The sequence below is a fragment of the Homo sapiens genome, chromosome 2 (genome assembly GCF_000001405.40).
Source record: "Homo sapiens chromosome 2, GRCh38.p14 Primary Assembly".
In the NCBI taxonomy this organism is placed as follows: domain Eukaryota; kingdom Metazoa; phylum Chordata; class Mammalia; order Primates; family Hominidae; genus Homo; species Homo sapiens.
Genome location: NC_000002.12, coordinates 104,913,117 through 104,932,156, shown reverse-complemented (window position 1 = coordinate 104,932,156; position 19,040 = coordinate 104,913,117). Strand labels below are relative to the sequence as shown.

The window sequence follows — 19,040 nt, the reverse complement described above, 5'->3', positions numbered from 1 at the left end:
CCTCATTCCCAAACAACTTTCTAAGGTTTTCATTTAAGTAAAAACTCTAGTAAAGCACTGGTAAGCATTGGTTAAATAACCTTCGTGAAATAAAAAAATATTTAATCGAACTTGGGACTTGTTTATCTGATGACAATCTATATTATTCATTTTGTGATATTTCTAGAAACTCTCCAAATTAATCTCAATTTAAATCTAGTCCTTCCACCTTCAGAGGGCCTTTGGCTTGTAAAAATCTTAGTTTTTCAGTTTCATTATATTCGTGTACTTATCTGGAACAAATGCTCTGTGTGCTTGTGCGTGTGTTATTGTGTGTGCATGTGTTATTGTGTGGATTGTTAATTCCTTCAGGAGGACAGGAACATATCCTTTATCGTCATCATCTTCTTTTTCTTATTTTTTTGTCTTTTCATCATGAGTCCTATACTCACTGAATATAATCGCAGAAGTCCCTCAATAAAAAATTACTGGCAGTTTTGCGCTTAAGCAAAATTCCCATGAAGTCTATAAAAAACTATTCCTGAAAAAGAAAGATAGGATAGAGTAGACAACGCAGTATAATTCTGAGCTAGTTGAAATCTATATTATTCCCATTTAACAAGGAAGCTTATTAAAAAATAATTAAAGAAAATGAGTACGTTTAAATGTAAATTTTGTTCAAAATTTCTAATTTTAAATAGGTTTTGAAATGCATAAAGCATAGTTCATCATCATATAATGTATTTTCCCTTATCTGACCTACCTTGCAACTCCAAGAAAATGTCTCTGGCAATGGCATTGTTTTCTAACATTGTAAATAATCTCTTCCTCCACAAAATTTTATATTTGAGTAGTTTAAAACATTTGTGGGTGTGTGTGTTTTATGAGAGTTATTCAACCAAATAAGTGATTACCAAAGGTATCATTTTATTGTTTTGTTTTTTGTAAGTATGGATAGAATTTTTAATTCAAATTTTTTTTCATTTAAAACTCTGTGGCATAGCAATTAGACCATCACACCAAAAAGCAAGTTAGAAAGGGAACAAAGGGCATTCACCATTTGTTTTGCATTCAAGGACACATATTTCATAGGAAATAAAGAATATCTGCCTGTATAGGAGATCAGAAACAAAATAGTGGTGTCATCCACAAAGACAAGGTGGAGCGAATGTGTTCCCATCAGATGTCCTGGGAAGGCTTTTGAGTTTTGTTTTGAAATTTACTCAGATATACAAAGCCCGGGCAGAGAGTAAACAGTGTACTGGAGTTGAGTAATCCAGGCGACATTTCTAGTGTCTAACTTGGGAGAGAAGAAATGTACAAATTCTGAATGAGGTAAAGAATAGGCTCCTATTACTTCACTAGGAGATTTCTGCAGGGGAATTTCTGCAAACTCCAGCTCATTATGATGCAGTAACAAATGCAGTTCTATAGAGACACCTACTAAAATTCCTAATTAACTAGGGACAAACCTGCCTCCTTGTACATCTAATGCCACTGTATTTACCTAGAAGTCAGCAAAACCCACAAGAATGTACCATTATTTTCCTAGGTAAAAGTAAATGAATGTAAATCTAAATCATCCAACCCTATTGTGCCTTAAAAAGGCGTATGTTCATAGAAAGTAACAGTGGGAACTGCGGAGTTTGTTGTCTGAATTAAATACAAATTTACATACCCAAATGACTAAAATAATGAAAGTGATAGATTAGGGTATTGATGCATAATCACTGTCTAGAATGCAGAACTTACGAGCCGCCTGATTTTGAGAACAATTACTTGTAATTAAAGCTGTGCTGGTTACCCAAAAAATAAATAAATAAATAGAGAAGTCCTTTGTGTATAACACCAATTAATTACTTTTTTTTTCAGCGAGAATAGCTCTTAAATGTCTGTGCTGCTATTTATATCTGACCACGTTCAGGAGTGGTATGAAATATGTATTGCTTAGCAGCTTTCTCAGGATGCTATTTGCAACTCACGCTTTTCAGTCAGTTTTCCTTAAACCCATTTAAAAAACAGTAACATCCGTAAGACTCTAATGTAAGAGTGATATTAAGATTCCTGTTTTCTTCATAATTAATAAAAACAAATACCTAGACCCAACTAGACAGTTTGTAAATCAATTTCTGTAGCTGCCACCCCCACCTGAATAGCGATTCAATTATAAACACAGTGATGCTCAGGTATAGCAAGTATTTTTTTCTTGGTAAGGACTCAAAATATGACTGTATTGTATTTAGCTGTACAGCAGCCCTGTGGTTCTTAGTCAACCCAAAACAGGAGATGGCGGTGGTTGGTGACTGTGTCACTGAGCACTCTTTGTCTTTTGGGAGCGAGGCAGGGTCAGCTGGCTGTCAGGGGCTGAAAGAGGCTTGGCCACTGGCATCCAGCTGCCATCCCAGCTCCCAAAGGTCTGATTACTGACTGGCTCATCCACTGTCCCCATTTTGAGGTCCCTGCTGGAACTGGCCCTAGGGAGAGAGGCACGAGCAAACACATCACTCAGTCCCCTCCTTCACTTAGTGACAGAGCAAGTTCTGGATTTTTCACAACAGTCCTTTTTTCAGGTGAGTTTATTATTTGCTGTGTAACCAACAGTGGCTGAATTCCTTACCTATTGTGAATCCGTTCATAAACCAGGCAACTACATCAGTTACAGGGGTCTATGTCTAGATCTGGAGTTCTGGAAAGAAAATCACTGTAGGAAACAGATCAGAGTAAACGTGAATATGATTTTTATTTGGGTGAATAATCTGAGTGTCATTTTTCTTCCTTTCTCCTTTTTTCCAAGGTGAATGTAACATCTCTGCAATGAATGGTGATCTGTGTTGCGGTTAGAAACGCAGGATCAGAGATCCTGCTGCCCGGGTTCAATTCTTGGTTTAATCCTGTATTGCTGTAAGACTTTAAGAGACTTATCTTCAGCTGGGCATGGTGGCTCACACTGGTGATCCCAGCACATTGGAGGCCAAGGTGGGTGGCTCACTGGAGATCAGGAGTTCAAGACCAGCCTGGCCAACATGGAGAAACCCCGTCTCCGCTAAAAATATGAAAATTAGCCAGGCATGGTGGTGCCCGCCTCTAGTCTCAGCTACTTGAGAGGCTGAGGCAGGAGAATCGCTTGAACCTGGGAGGCGGAGGAAGCAGTGAGCTGAGATGCTGAGATCGTGCCACTGCACTCCAGCCTGGGCAACAGAGTGAGAATCTATCTAACATGGTGAAACCCCGTCTCTACTAAAAATACAAAAAATTAGCCGGGCATGGTGGCGGGCTCCTGTAGTCCCAGCTATTCGGGAGGCTGAAGCAGGAGAATGGCGTGAACCCGGGAGGCAGAGGTTGCAGTGAGCCGAGATTGCGCCACTGCACTTCAGCCTGGCAACAGAGCGAGACTCCGTCTCAAAAAAAAAAAAAAAAAAAAAAAAAAAAAAAAAAAAGATATATATAAAGAAGTTTTTACATCGCCCAATCCAAAAGAATCATCATTAATTAGTTGCATTTAAAAAATAATAAAAACCCAAAAATAAATTATTTTCTCATTATTATGATGCCTCAAATTCTCATTATATAGATCACTTCTTTGATTTAAGATGTTAAAGCATAAGGTTTTCCTGAAACACATTTCAAAAATAATAACATCAGAAAGATTCTAATGTAAGAGGGGCATTAAGATTCCTGTTTTATTCATAATTAATAAAGACAAGTTCCTCTACCCAGCTAGACGTACTAAGTATGGACCTGGTTATACGCTTAGGATATTTTTCAAGAAGGGCGCACACAAAACTCTTAATAGTGATTTCCTCTGTGGAAAGGGAGGGTCGGGAGAAGGAAGGAAAACTTTTATATTTTATATTTTTCTGTAGCATTTGAATTTTTACTGTGCACGGATATATCTTTTACATCACCTATTACAATAATCATTAACTCATAAGTGGAAATACATGTTTAAATTAACTAGCGGAGTACAGGATTCTGAAAGACTGCATGTGAAAGTGAAGGAGCGGTGCAGGAAGTACAGAGGAGCCCACAGCCCACCTTAAGGTATCACTGGGACATCCTGGGCCACTGAGCAATTCTGGGCCCCAGAGGCCCCTGCTGACCCCAGTATGCCCTAATGCAGGCATGGCAGCACATAGGATTTGGGCTCAGTCAGACCTGATGTTGAACATTGGTCTGTTCATCAGTGATCTGTGTGCCCTTAGGGAAGTTCCTTAATTTCTTTGTGCAGCAATTTCCTCACTGGATATCTTTTTTAAAGGAGGATCATAATGTCTACTTTCATTTCTCCACTTCTAAGTGTGTTGTGAATACTATATAAGCTCTGGCCTAGGGTAGGGTGAGGGAAAGTTAGCAAATCTTGGCTCTTCTTTCCCTCCCCTAACTCCTTGTCCTGTCAACTCGACATTTTTTTTTTTTTTTTTTTTTTTTTTTGAGACAAGGTCTCACTCTGTCACTCAGGCTAGAGTAGAGTGGCACAATTATAATTCACTGCAGCCTTAAACTCTTGGGCTTGAACAATCCCCCGCCCCAGCTTTCAGACTTACAGGTGCATGCCGCAGCACCTGACTAATTTTAAAAAAATTTTCTAGAGATAGATGCCTCACTGTGTTGCCCAGCGTGATCTCGAACTCTTTGGCTCAAGCAATTCTAATGCCTTGACCTCTCAAAGTGCTGGGATTAGAGGCATGAGCCACTGCACCTGACCCATTTTTTAAAAATTGTAAACATGTTAGTATTTATCAGAGAGTTAAATCCCCATCCTTTTCTCTCTCTACCCCCTTTCTACCCCCTTTCCCTTTTCTTTCTCCCTGCCTTCTCATCTTTGTTTTTGTGTGTCTTTAAAAAGCCACCAAAAGGAAGCATTCCTGACCTCGTTGTTATGAACTGGATGTCTGTGTGCCCCAAAAGCCATGTGTTGAAATTGTAATGCCCAAAATGATGGTATTAAGAGGTGGTTAGGGTTTGAAGGCAGAGCCCTCATGAGTGGGATTAGTGCCCTTATAAAAGAGATGCCAGAGAGATCCCTTGCCTTTCCCACCATGTTAGGGCACAGTGAGGACTATATATACATATACATATATTTTAAGTTCTGGGATACATGTACTGAATGTGCAGGTTTGTTACATAGGTATACACACACCATGGTGGTTTGTTGCGCCCATCCACCCATCATCTACATTAGGTGTTTCTTCTAATGCTATCCCTCCCCTAGCCCCTCACCCCCTGACAGGCCCCAGTGTGTGATGTTCCCCTCCCTATGTCCCTATGTCCATGTGTTCTCATTGTTCAACTCCCACTTATGAGTGAGAACATGCAGTGTTTAGTTTTCTGTTCTTGTGTTAGTTTGCTGAGAATGACGGTTTCCAGCTTCATCCATGTCCCTGCAAACAACATGAACTCATCCTTTTTTATGGCTGCATAGTATTCGATGGTATATATGTGCCACATTTTCTTTATCTAGTCTATCATTGATGGGCATTTGGGTTGGTTCCAAGTCTTTGCTATTGTGAACAGTGCTGCAATAAACATACATTTGCATGTGTCTTTATAGCAGAATGATTTATAATCCTTTGGGTATAATGGGATTGCTGGGTCAAATGGTATTTCTGGTTCTAGATCCTTGAGGAATTGCCATACTGTCTTCCACAATGGTTGAACTAATTTACACTCCCACCAACAGTGTAAAAGTGTTCCTGTTTATCCACATCCTCTAAAGCAGCTGTTGTTTCTTGACTTTTTAATCATCACTATTCTAACTGGCATGAGATGGTATCTCATTGTGGTTTTGATTTGCATTTCTCTAATGATCAATGGTGATGAGCTTTTTTTCATATGTTTATTGGCCACATAAATGTCTTCTTTTAGGAAGTGTCTGTTCATATCCTTCACCCACTTTTTGATGGGGTTGTTTGTTTTTTTCTTGTAAATTTGTTGAAGTTCTTTGTAGATTCTGGATATTAGCCCTTTGTCAGATAGATAGATGGCAAAAATTTTCTCCCATTCTGTAGGTTGCCTGTTTACTCCAATGAGAGTTTCTTTTGCTGTGCAGAAGCTCTTTAGTTTAATTAGATCCCATTTGTCAATTTTGGCTTTTGTTGCAATTGCTTTTTGTGTTTTTGTCATGAAGTCTTTGCCCATGCCTATGGTGAGGACAATCTTCTATGAACCCAGACAAGAACCAAATCCGGCAGCACCTTGATCTTGGACTTCCAAATCTCCAGAACTGTAAGAAATAAACATTTGCTGTTAACACAACCCAGTTTATGGTATTTTGTTACAGCAACATGAACTGACTAAGACACTCGTCCAAAATGGTTTCTTAAACAAACACACAAAATAACTCCCCAGTGGGAAATTTTGCCTCAGAGTCTAAGTTCTTTATGGCTGGGCTAATTTTCTCTGATTCTGTCAGAGTGAAAGTTCAGCCAGAAGCTATTCTTCTATCTAACTCTGAGGAAAATTAATAGATTTTTCTCCTTAGCCTTTATTCTAGGCTAAATAATCACTAATCATTTAGCTTTCATTTGTGGTCTTACTTTTTACAGTTTTAAATTTATTTTTTGCATTCGAGGATGTTTCTCTTACACCTTCTCTAGGTTCTGCATGGCTCACAGTTGTAGCACCCAGTTCTGCATAATCCAGAGAGATTCTGTTTAGTTGGTCCAGTGGCCTCCTCCCCACCCTCTTTTGCTTCTATCTGAGGTTTAACTTAAGGGACATGAGTCAAGAGAGTAAGAGGAAACCTTGGGAATTTCTTACCTACTCATTTTCTTTCTTCTCTTATTTCCAATCTCACAAGCACATCCTTCCAAACCTAGAATCAATTTTATGTTCATTCCCATTTAATACCCTTCTCATCTTATTCTCATGTGATGATCTGACATACAAATCAACAAAGTGTTCTCTAATAAAGACATAAAGGGCTACCTTTCCCAGGCACAAATGATAGCCAACAATGCCCACCAAAGTGAAGACAGGATTGCTGGTGGAGAAGTTGATTTCCCAGTTCCTCTAATCACTTGTAGGCATGAGTACAAAACCCAGAGAAGAAAACCCTAGATTGCTCCAAGGTAGGCTAGGAGTGAATATTCACTTTTCCAAGGATTAATTTCTCATTAAAGGGCTTCATGATAGAACCTAAATTGCAAATTCTTTAAATTGCACTGAAAGTTGCTGGATTAAGATATCTTTGCAGTATAAAAATTGCCATGTCTATAATGCTCCCTACTTTATTTTTGAAATCTGATGCAATTAATAGATACACAGGGCCATTTTCATAATACCCTAGATTCACAAAGGAAGAAGTGAAACTAATCACCTTTTACAAACTGGCAAAATTTTGGGACTGGTTAATGGAACTAGTGAATAGTGTAGCCAGCAGAGGTTGCATTTCATCAGTTACATGAAGTTCAAAAGTGAGATGCAAGATTTCAGACAAAGAATAAAATCAATTCAGAAAAAGAGAGGATGAATAGATCAAAAGATGAAGAGATGAGGTTATGAAGAGTTGAAAGTGGAAAATGAATTCGAAAACCATTTTGGTTAGAGATTATAAAGGAGAAGGATCGACAATTATTTCATAGTGTTGAAAATCCTGTTAATATGAGTCCAAAGTTGTGAAATGTGATGCTTCTTGGAGACAAATCTTACAGTTAATCCGAAGTAATGAGAACAAAAGCATCAGAGTAGGCCAAGGGAGGGCTGGTTGGGGGCAAATGGGTCTTTCCATAACCTTAAATAACCAATTGTCTTTGCAGACAGAAGACTGGGGTTTGAGTTTACTCCCCTCCCCATCGATTCTGCATAGCAGTCAAAATGCTTTTCTAAACAACTCAAATATAATCATGCCCTTCCTTAGTTAGAATTGGTCAGTAGCTTCTCATCTTTCTAAAAATCCAAAATCTGTAACATCATCTTTCCATAGGTGGTCTGTGTCCAGGCTTGCCTGGGACTGTCTGGCTTGTGCCTCTTGTTCTGGAGTGATTTTTTAAATAACATGCTTTTAAAAATCATTGTAAAATACACATAACATGAAATTTACCATCTTTTCCATTTTTAGGTGCATAGTTCAGTGGTATTAAGTACATTTATGTTGTGCAATTATCACTATCGTCCATCTCTAAAACTCTTACCCTGCAAAACTGAAACTCTGTATCCGTTAAACACTAACTCCCCCTTCTTCTCTCTCCCCAACCACTGGCAAGCAACATTCTACTTTGTCTCTCAGAATTTGACTACTCTATGCACCTCATATAAATGGAACCGTACAGTATTTGTCTTTTTGTGACTACCTTGTTTATAACCACTGCTGCTCTCTTCTGGTTACTATTTGTATAGAATATCTTCTCGTCCTTTCACTTTCAACCTATTTGGTCCCTGGAGCTAAAGTGAGTCTCTTGTGCATAGTTGAATAATGTATTTCTTAAAAAATAGATTCTCCCAATCTTTGTCTTTTGATTGGAGATTTTGAAGTATTTACACTTAAAATAATTATTGATGAGGAGAAACTTACTTGTGTCATTTTGCTATGTGTTTTCTATATGCCTTATAGCTTTTTTGTACTTCATTTCTTGCATTACTATTTTGTGTTAATTGATTTTTTTGTAGTAAAATGTTTAAATTCCCTTCTCATTTCCTTTTGTGTATACTCTACAGCTATATATTTTTCGCAACTACCATGAAGATTACCCTTAACATCCCAAAGTTATAACACTCTGATTTGAATTAATAGCAGCTTAATTTCAATTAAAAAACAACTCTGCTCCTATACAGTCCCTTCCCTACCCCCTTTCAGGTATTGGTGTTACAAACTTACATGTTTAAATATTGCATGGCCAAAACCAAACAAATAATTTTTAAAATGCATTAATGTCTTACATTATGTAGAAAACAAAATTGGAGTTACAAACCAAAGTTACAGTAATACCAGCTTTTATAAATTCCCATGCATTTACTTTTACTGAGTTCTTTATTTCATCATAGAGCTTCATGTTACTCTCTAGTGTCCTTTCATTTCAACTTTAAGGACTCCTTTCAGCTGTTCTTTCAGGGTAGGCCTAGTGGTAATGAATTCCTTAAGCTCTTGTTTACCTGAGAATGTCTTAATTTAGTCCTCACTTTTAAAGAATAGTTTTGCTAGATATAGGATTCTTGCTTGACAGTTTTTTTTCCTTTCAGCACTTTGAATATATCAGCATGTTGCCTTCTGGCCTCCAGAATTTCTGATGAGAAACCTGTTGGTAATTTTATTGAAGATCCCTTACTTCTCTCTTGTAGCTTTCAAGATTATCTCTGTCTTTGGCCTTTGTCAAGCTGATTATAATATGTCTTGATGTGGGTCTCATTGAGTTCATCCTACTTGGAGTTCATTGAGCTACTTGGATGTTTATGTCTTCCATAAAATTTGGAAAGTTTTTGGTCATTATTTCTTCCAAAAATTTCTTTGCCCCAGTCTCTCTCTTTTCTCCTTTTGGAACTCCCACAATGTCCACAATGTATGTTGGCCCACTTGGTAGTGTCCCATGGGTCTCTGAGGCTGTGTTTACTTTTCTCTGTGTTTTTAAAGCTCAATAATTTCATTCGTCTTAACTTCAAGTTAACTGATTTTTTTCTTCCGCCTGCTCAAATCTACCTTCAAATTCCTCTAGTAAATTTTTCATTTTAGTTATTGCATTTTCAGCTCCAGAATGTCTTTTTGGTTTCTTCTATTGATATTTTCATCATGCTCATACATCATTTTCTTGACTTTTTACATGATTTCCTTTCTTTTTTTTTTTTTTTTTTTTGAGCATCTTCAAGAAAATTGTTTTAAAGTCTTTGTCTAGCAAGGCTGTCATCTGGTCTTTCTCCAGGATGGCTTCTGTTGGTTTATTTTTTGTTTTTGAATGAACCATACTTTCCTGTTTCTTTGTATGCCTTATGATTTTTTATTAAATTGAAAACAAGACATTGGAATCTAATAATGTAGTAACTCCGGTAATCAGATTCTCCCCATTCCTCAGAGTTTGTTGATTTCTATTTTTGTTTTTGTCCTGTGATTGTTGTAAGCTGTCTCTGTACCAGGGATTAGCATGAGGTATAAACTTAAAGTCTTTTCAGGTATTTTTAAAGGCCTGCATCTATCCTTGAGCATGCACTGTGACTTTCTAAATTCCTGAATATGTGGTCATTTTTCATTCTTTGAGATGGAGTCTCATTCTTTTGCCCAGGCTGGAGTGCAGTGGAGTGATCTCAGCTCACTGCAACCTCCATCTCCTGGGTTCCAGTGATTCTCCTGCCTCAGCCTCCTGAGTAGCTGGGACTACAGGTGTGTGCCACCATGTCTGGCTAATTTTTGTATTTTTTAGTAGAGACAGGGTTTCACCATATTGGCCAGGCTGGCGTCAAACTCCTGACCTCGTGATCTACCTGCCTCAGCTTCCCAGAGTGCTGGGATTACAGGCATGAGCCACCATGCCTGGCTATGTGGTCACTTCTGAATGTCCTAGAGTTAAAATGCTTGGCTCCCAAAATAGGAAAGATGAGAAAAATGAAGTGAGAGGAGGGCACTGGCCTATTAAATCCCCTGGAAGTTGCTTCAGTCAGAGGAGAAGGGTCCTTTTTGCCCACCCTGGATCTTTGATGCTGCTGGCAAGCTGCTCCAGGAACCCATGTATGGCTGCCTGACTTGGGACTGGGATCTGAGTAGATGTTATGGGTGGAAATTGATCAAAACTAGCCATAATTTACTGTCCAAGCTTTCCCCCAGGAAATTGCAAGACTTCAAATGTACTCCAGAGTTTCAAAATAGTTACATTAGACAGATTCTGCCAGTGCAATTATTGTCTAGGTGGGGAGACAGATTCCTGGGGCTTCCTACTCTGCCATCTTCCCAGAATTCTGTCTAATCCTGGTGTGATTTTTGACAGCACCCCCTTCATGCACATGAGCATCCAGTTTGGACGCTGGCTATGAAGCGTACACCACTAGCCTCATATCATGGCCTCCTCGCCTCTGTCACTGCTGGCCAGATACACAGCTGGTTGCTCCCATTGTGTGGTCCTCTTCTTTCTCTTAGTACTAGACCTCTCAAGCTGAGCCCCTATCTCATAGAGTAAAGATATTTCTCATCCTCCCTAGCAACTAGGTGTGGCCCTGGACTAAGTATTAGAGGATGTATGCAAAAAAGATGGATGTAAGTTTGAATAAAGTCCTTAAAGGGAGGAGGTGTGGATCAGGATCTTCCTGATCCTGCTGCTTGGAACATGAATGTGGGGGGAGACTTCTTGGATCATAGCGCTGAGAGTAACACCTTAGAGATTGTAACACAACTGCAAATGACTTAATGGCGCAGAGCTACATAGCAGCTCCAGATCACCTACTGTTGGACAGTTATATAAGTGAGAATGAATGCCTATTTATGTCACATTTATTTTAGAGCCCTTCTACATGTAGCTACATGTATAGCATACCCAAATAAAATAGAATCTGATACTAGAAGTGCCTAAAATATGTGGTATTGACTTCAAGGTGGAAGCCAGTTTCAAAGACTCAGAAATTGCAGGCTGGAAGGCAATGGCCCCTTTTTATGGTATGGTAAAATGCTTTGTAAAACCATCTTCTGCAATAACCTGGGAGCCAGATCACATACTGACCACATCTTAGCTCTACAGAAAATTGGTCGGGTCAATTTAAAATTCTGTTGGGTGTTTCCTGCTTCTTGCTGCTTTTTGCAAAAGGCCTAAAAGGGAGAGATAAATTCACATTGGAGATAGTCAGTTGGCAAGCAGGGATGGAAGGGGATTTTGTGCTTCAAAGGGCAGAACTCAATGTCTGTAACATAAAATCTAGGTTGACTGAGAGACTGCTTTAAAAAGTCAGCTGTGGCTGGGCACGGTGGCTCACGCCTGTAATCCCAGTACTTTGGGAGGCTGAGGCGGATGGATCACCTGAGGTCAGGAGTTCAACACCAGTCTGGCCAACATGGTGAGACCCCATCTCTACTAAAAATACAAAAGTTAGCTGGGCGTGATGGCATGCGCCTGTAATTCCAGGTGCTCGGGTGACTGAGGCGGGAGAATCCCTTGAACCCGGGAGGTAGAGGTTGCAGTGGGCTGAGATTGCGCCAGTGCACTCCAGCCTGAGCAACAGAGCAAGACTCCATCTCAAATAATAATAAAAAAATAAATAAATGAATAAATAAATAAATAGCTGTTCCTGTGCCCCGAAATAAAGCCATTGTAAATAAAGCTACATGCTTAGGAAGAGATAAGTTTGTGATCCAAAGTCCTTTTCAGCCGCCTCTGTGTGTGTGTGATTTTTCCAAAGCCAGACAATGAGAGAGAAAGAGAGAGAGAGAAAGGAGGAGGGGGAAGAGGAAGAGGAGAGGAGGAGGGGAGAGGAAGGAAGGGAAGGGAAGGAGACAAGGGAGGAGAAGAGGCGAGGGGAAAGGGAAGAAGAGGAGAGGGTAAATGGTAGTCCAGTGTCAAATACATTGTGTGGCTTCCTTTCTGAAGCCTATTGTTTCAGGAGTCTCCAAATGCTATCATTCAGTTGAGAGAAAGAGAAGTAAATAGAACACAGGACCAGTAAATAAAAAAACCGAAGCTGCAGGCTTAAAAACTTGGTTAATTGGCTGAAGTTACTTGTACATGGGATTGATGGGCCAGGAGGTGACTGAGTTTTTGAGGCAATTACATTGCCAAATAAGTCGGATGTTTGGCCTGCCCAAGCCTGTGAACATTCAACCCCTAAAGCCACTCCTGGGCCTCTGAAGTGGCGCTGGCAGGAATGGGCTCTGAAAGCTGGACAGCTGCCAAGAAGGACAAACTCACCAGTGTTCATCTCAGATGCTGCCACAGAAGGAATGGATTAAGTCCAGAGGGCAAAGTCCAGGAACACTGAAGACAATGTGCAGGGAAGTTCCTCCCAGAGAGCAAGATGTGGAGCTACCAGATGATCTAATGTGCATGCACACACAGCACATACTGTTCTCCACAGGCAGGAAGCTAGCATAAAATGTTTTCATGGACCAGGCATGGTGGCTCACGCCTGTAATCCCAGCACTTTGGGAGGCCGAGGTGGGCGGATCACCTGAGGTCAGGAGTTCAAGACCAGCCTGACCAACATAGAGAAACCCCATCTCTACTAAAAATACAAAATTAGCTGGGCGTGGTGGCGCATGCCTGTAATCCCAGCTACTCGGGAGGCTGAGGCAGGAGAATTGCTTGAACCTGGGAAGCGGAGGTTGGGGTGAGCTGAGATCATGCCATTGCACTCCAGCCTGGGCTTGAAACTCCATCTCAAAAAAAAAAAAAAAGTGTTTTCATGAGTGAGCGGTCACTGGAAATTTTTCATCTTTCTCTTTGCAGATCGGGGCAGGAGAGTGTTATAATTACTCTATGTATTAGCCTAGTAGGGCTACCCTAACAAAGTGCCACAAACTATGTGGCTTAGTGTCATCTCCCAGTTCTGGAGCTGGAAGCCTGAGATCCAGGTGTTGGCAGGATTGGCTCCTTCAGAGACTGCGAGAGAGAATCTGCTCCAGGCCTCTCTCCTGGCTTCTGGTGGTTTGCTGGTGACCTTGGGTGCTCCCTGGTTTGTAGAGGCATCACACCATGTCTGTCTTCCTTGTTCACATGATGTTCTCCCTGTGTGTACCTGTGTTCAGGTGTCCTCATGTTATAAGGACACCAGTCACCTTGCATTAGGGCCCACCCTCCACCAGTATGGCCTCATCTTAACTCATTACAGCTGCAATGACTCTATTTCCAAATAAGGTCACGTTCTGAGTGACTGAAGGTTAGAACTTGAACATATGAATTTTGGGGAGACCCAATTCAACCCATAACACTTGATTCCTTCTCTTCCATTGTATTATAGGTATGTCAAGGATAAATAATTTGTCTCTTAGTTCACGGGTCACCAGAATAGAATTCTACATCCGGGCCTGCTGGAGGGAATTCCAAATTGAAAGAATTTTACTGGCAAGAAATCCTGAGACTTTGAACCAGATGCAGTATCCAGATGTAGGCTTAGGATTTTACGACTTGGGAAGTCAGTGAGTGTGTTCCAAAGGGAGATATGCACAGCTCTTTGCAGGGACAAAGGAACAAGCCATAGCAGAAGTTATTCTTATGCTATAATCAGAACAGAATCTTCAGGTTTATCTAGATACATGGATGCCCAGAATAAAGACCATATTTCCAGGTTGTCTTGCAGCTAGCTTTGGTTATGTAACTAAACTCAGGCTAGGGTGCCCTTCTAGGTCATATACTGAAAGGAAGAGGATAATATATCTTTCTTCCTTCTCTTGCCCCATTCCCCAACTCTGCTGCTTAGAACATAGATGTGGGGGCAGCTGATGTAAACTCTGAGGAAAAGGGCAACCCCCCAGCAAGGGAGGGATAAGAGAGAAGAATCCTGGATTCTGGTGGTGGAGCTGAATCACCACCCTAGTACTGGGCTGCTTATTCATGTAGTGTTCCTGGAGAGAAAATGACTTCTATGTTACCTGAAACCAAGTGGATAGTTTCATGAAGACACTGACCTTCCCTCACTTCCTTACAAAGCAAAGTTTCTTTGCACTTTGGAGCCTTTACACAGACTGTGCCCACTTCCTCTTCCCTGCTGCCCCCTTCTCAAACTCCCATCCCCCCAAATTTCATTCAAACATCACTTCTTCAGAAGAACCTGTTACCTTCAGACTTGCTCAGGCCCCTCTCTTATACACCCTTGTAGCATCCTATGCCTTGCCTCTATAGCATATCAATCAATTCTAAGTCAACATAGTGGAATTATTTGATTAACAATTGTCTCTATAGTCATAGTTGTTGTCTCTATGACAATAGTCATCTCAAGCTCTTGGGAGCAGGGCAGTTGTATTAGTCAGGGTTCTCCAAAGAAACGAAACCCATAGGATAAATAGAGCCATACGTATCTATGCATAGATTATAGAGGAGATTTAGATTGCACACTGGCTTATGCAATTATGGAGGCTGAAAAGTCCCACAAGCTGCCATCTGCAAGCTGGCCTAGGAAAGCTAGTGGTGTGGGTCTCATCCCAACCAGGGGAGCCAGTGGTGTGAGTTCTGGTTTGAGCCTGAAGGCCTGAGAACCAGGAGCACCGGTGACTGAGGGCAGAAGAAGATGGATGTCTCTGTTCAAGAAGAGAGGGAGTGAAATCATCTTTCTGCTGCCTTTTTATTCTTTCTGGGCCTTCGGCAGATTGGATGGTGCCCACCCACATTGGTGACAGCTGATCTTGTTTACTGAGTCTACTGATCCAAATGCTAATCTCTTTTGGATCACACTCAGACACACTCAGAAATGGTGTTTTACCAACTATCTGGGCATCCCTTAGTGCAGTCAAGTTGATCCATAAGATTAACCTTCGCAGCAGTGTGGGATTTGCTCTCTCTGTTAGGCAGCCTCTAAGATGGCCCCAGATCATCCTTGCTACCTGGGACTCCCATCCCCTCCCCTTGAGTGTGGACCCACTTTATTGACTTGCTGTGCTAGAATATGGGAGGGATAATCAGAGGTTATTTGTGAGACTAAGGAAAAGGTTGTGGCTTCTATCTTGGGTATACCTCTTAGATACCTCCTGCTGGGGGACGTCAAACACCATGTCATAAGGCGGCCCTGTGGAAAGAGGCCCACAGAGGTGAGCTTGAGAGCAGATTCTCCAGCCCTTGTTGTGTTTTGAGACAAATGGAGCCTCAGCTGACAGCCTGACTATAACCTCATGAGAGATTTTGAATCAGAGGCACGCAGGTAAGCCACACCCAGACCCCTGAACCACAGGAACCATGAGATAATAATCTGTTAAGCATTGGGTTCATTTCTTACCCAGCAAGAAATGACAAATACACTTGTTCATCACTACATCTAAGCAACTATCCTAATGTTTGGCACAGAGTAGGCTGTCAATAAATCTAGTTAGATAGATAATGTATAAATTAATGGATTATCTAATCATAAGCTCTCAGGCTCTGTAAATCTTGAGCTCTTTATTATTAAAATGAGTTATATTTATCTTTAAATGAGAATTAGACAGTCTTCTGTGTTAGAGTATCTTATAAACTATAAGGGATGGCACAAATATTAAAATTGTTTCATCATGTATGTTTGCTATATGTTCTAGAAATGATCTGAGGGCACCGATGGTTTTATTTTCTATGAGGGGCCACCCTTGCTGGAGGTGCACACAGCATGTCATATTGTTTACTTTAAATACTTCACAATCAACCATGGATGTGAGGTGTGTGTTCACCTTTGCTGTAAAGGACATCCTAGGAATGGCAATTAGCATCTAAAAGACCCTAAGCAGAACCCATACCTCAGGGGTGATGAGTTATAAGGTGAAAGATTTTCACCAGGAACCCACACTCCAAAGGAAGTGCTTCAAGTATCATTCTCGAAACGTGTCCTGGACAGTCCAGCGATTTGCATCCGAGATGTTAGAAACAACCTCTCATTGGTGAAAGAAATGGCATTGAAGATCAGTGGTTGGCTTGAGGGATTTGGGGGATCCCTACCACCCTTATGTCTGTAAGGAACTGGAGTAGTTTTGGCCCAGTCTCCACTAGAGGAGGCCTGCCAGGCTGCCACAGACACCACTTGTGGGCCACAGAGCCAGCCTTTCATTCAGAGTGCAAGACAGAGTGGGACTTCCCTAAACTTCTCAGAATGGGTCTCCACGATTCTTTTTTCATTCCTTGTGCTAATAAATATCTGTGTGGCATAATTTTGCCAGAGACTTGCTCTATGTGTAACAAAGGGTTGCGGGGCAGGAGACAAATAGCATTTATCTGCCTTCAATCCATGGCCACTACTCATATTCAGCTGAACAACCTGACATGGTTGAACTTCTCAGTTGTCTCAGGCTAGCTCACAAAAGCAAGTATCTGCAGGTGCTTCCTGAACTTCAGGACTTACCGTGGCCACATTGTCAACTACCTGAAACAGGGCACTCTGTCAAAACTGAGAAAGACTAATACAATTGCTATTTAATTAATCTGATTTGCCCTGGGTCTCCCCAGATAGAGAATTCTGATGGGAATCAATTTGCTAGAAGTGACTCAGGTCTCCAGGCTCTTGCCACGCCTTTGTGCAGGTCTGCAGCTTGTCACAAGTGTGACCTTCCGAGTGACCCTGCGCTACCTCAGATCCCCAGCTGTGTCTGCTGCTGCCTATGAATATAGGTCCTGCAGGCACCTGTGAGGCCTTCAGGGCTCCACAGAGAGGTCAGCAGACTGTCCTTGCTCCCCGCAACTCTTTGTCACCCTCTGTCACTCTAGCCCTGAAATGTCCCTGCTTTTACCACGGTCTCAGGGAGTCTCTTCCAGATTGCAGCTTGTGCTAATGGCAAACCTACTGTCCGGGTCAGATCTTCTCCTTGCGGGGAGAAGGGACAGGAGATAGACACTGTCTCTTTCCCTTTTCTCTCTACATCCCCTTCTGCAGGGAACATCATGCTATAACTCCCTCCTCCTTCAGCTAAAGCAAAAGTCCCTAAGCCGTCTGGTTCTGAGTCAGCCAGTCTTCCAATCGCCAGACACACCAGATATACCCACACCCTCACCACGGACACTGACAGGCTCCATCTGGGATCTTGGCTACTTAATTAATGTAATTTCATAGCAATACTTTAAAGACATCAGGTCCAAGAGGGTTCTGGTTGGGCAAATATAGGGAATTTTCTCCCCACTCTGTCCTCATAAAAAAGAAGTCTTACTCCTCAGTTTCTTCCTCTAGGTCTCACAGTCTAGGCTTCTGCAGCTTGGGAAGAAATGATCAGCTCCTATCCTAAATCAACCCATCAGAGGAGCTGGAAGGTGGAGAGGATGTTTTCCTGATAAATGTAAGAACTTGCAGAAAATGGCACTAAGATTTTACATCAACAACTAGTCCTCTGTTAACGAGTGGATTAACACCATTTATAAGTATGAACCCAAGAATGTGCTGGAAAACAGCCTCTCCAAGTTGTATTGGGATGGAGCCGTGATAACAGATTAACAAATTCTGGCCAACAGACCGGATATTCTGTTGTTTGACAAACTTAATAAAACAGAGATGCTCACTGATATTGCTTTCTTACTAAATAGAAATATCCCAAGAACATATGCAGAGAGTATAAATAAGTATGTGACTTTGACAGAGAGTTGGAAGGAAAACAGAATGTGAGAGACAATAGAAAAGCTAGCTGCCTTTTCTGTATCTTCCAGGGGTTTCCCAGATCCAAAAACTGGACATTCACTGTGAATGAGCCTCCGCTAAAAGGCAAAAGCTATGTATACTTCTAGGTATTTTTTTTTTCGTTTTAATGATAGATAATCAAATGTGCTTAGCTTTTGTTTATTTTCAAAGTATACACAGAGCTATTCATCCCAGTAACAAGAATGTGAAAATAACGATGTGAAGATGTATCAGGCTCTACGTTCAGGGTGCATAGGTACAGGTACGTTTTCTGTATGTGTGTTATACTTCAGTGAAAAGGTTTTAAAAATGCCAATGCTGAAGATCGTAGCTCTTGTCTGGGCCTTGGTGACCCAACCTTATTCACATACGTTTTACTGAGTGCTCTGATGGGTGTTAAATCCCACAGCAGAGCCTTTGATTGTGTGATTCCTGGACTGAGTGGTGACTTCAGCACTGGTCACCTGAGTCTTCTGATAGTACCTGCATTTTTAGCTCTGATAGACACAGAGGGTGATGTCAGGAACATTAAGCCAGTTACCCCAGGGCCTTAGTCAGTGCCCAAGCCTCTGCCTTTCACCTGAGAAAGAATTTCCAAACTGCCTGATGAGGGAGAAAACCATGTCCATGGTCCCAACGGGGTCCAGAGGATCCCCTGAGAATCTGGATGGGAATCCAGAAGATATGCTGGAAAAGACCCACAGATGGTACCCTGGGATACAAAAGGAAGACTCCTTTAATGCCAGCCAAGGAATGTGTGTGTTACTGCAAGAAGCCAGCCAGGGAATCTATTCTTTAAAAAAAAAAAAGCCAACAGGCCCAAGTCTGAATGGCCTGTCACGGTCACAAGCATTGCCTCTGGCTGCGGGCTGGAGAACAAGGCC

General features: G+C 41.3%; 1 protein-coding gene across 4 annotated transcripts in view; it reads right to left on the bottom strand.

Annotated features, from left to right (window-relative positions):
- Positions 1 to 4,383: 4,383 nt before the first annotated feature.
- Positions 4,384 to 19,040, bottom strand: part of POU3F3 (POU class 3 homeobox 3) — a 74,498-nt gene continuing 59,841 nt past the window's right edge. For all 4 annotated transcript variants that reach the window (NR_197434.1, NR_197433.1, NR_197432.1 and 1 more), the window contains one exon: positions 4,384 to 6,202. The gene's annotated coding sequence lies outside the window, so the exon portion shown is untranslated. The remainder of the gene's footprint in view (positions 6,203 to 19,040) is intronic.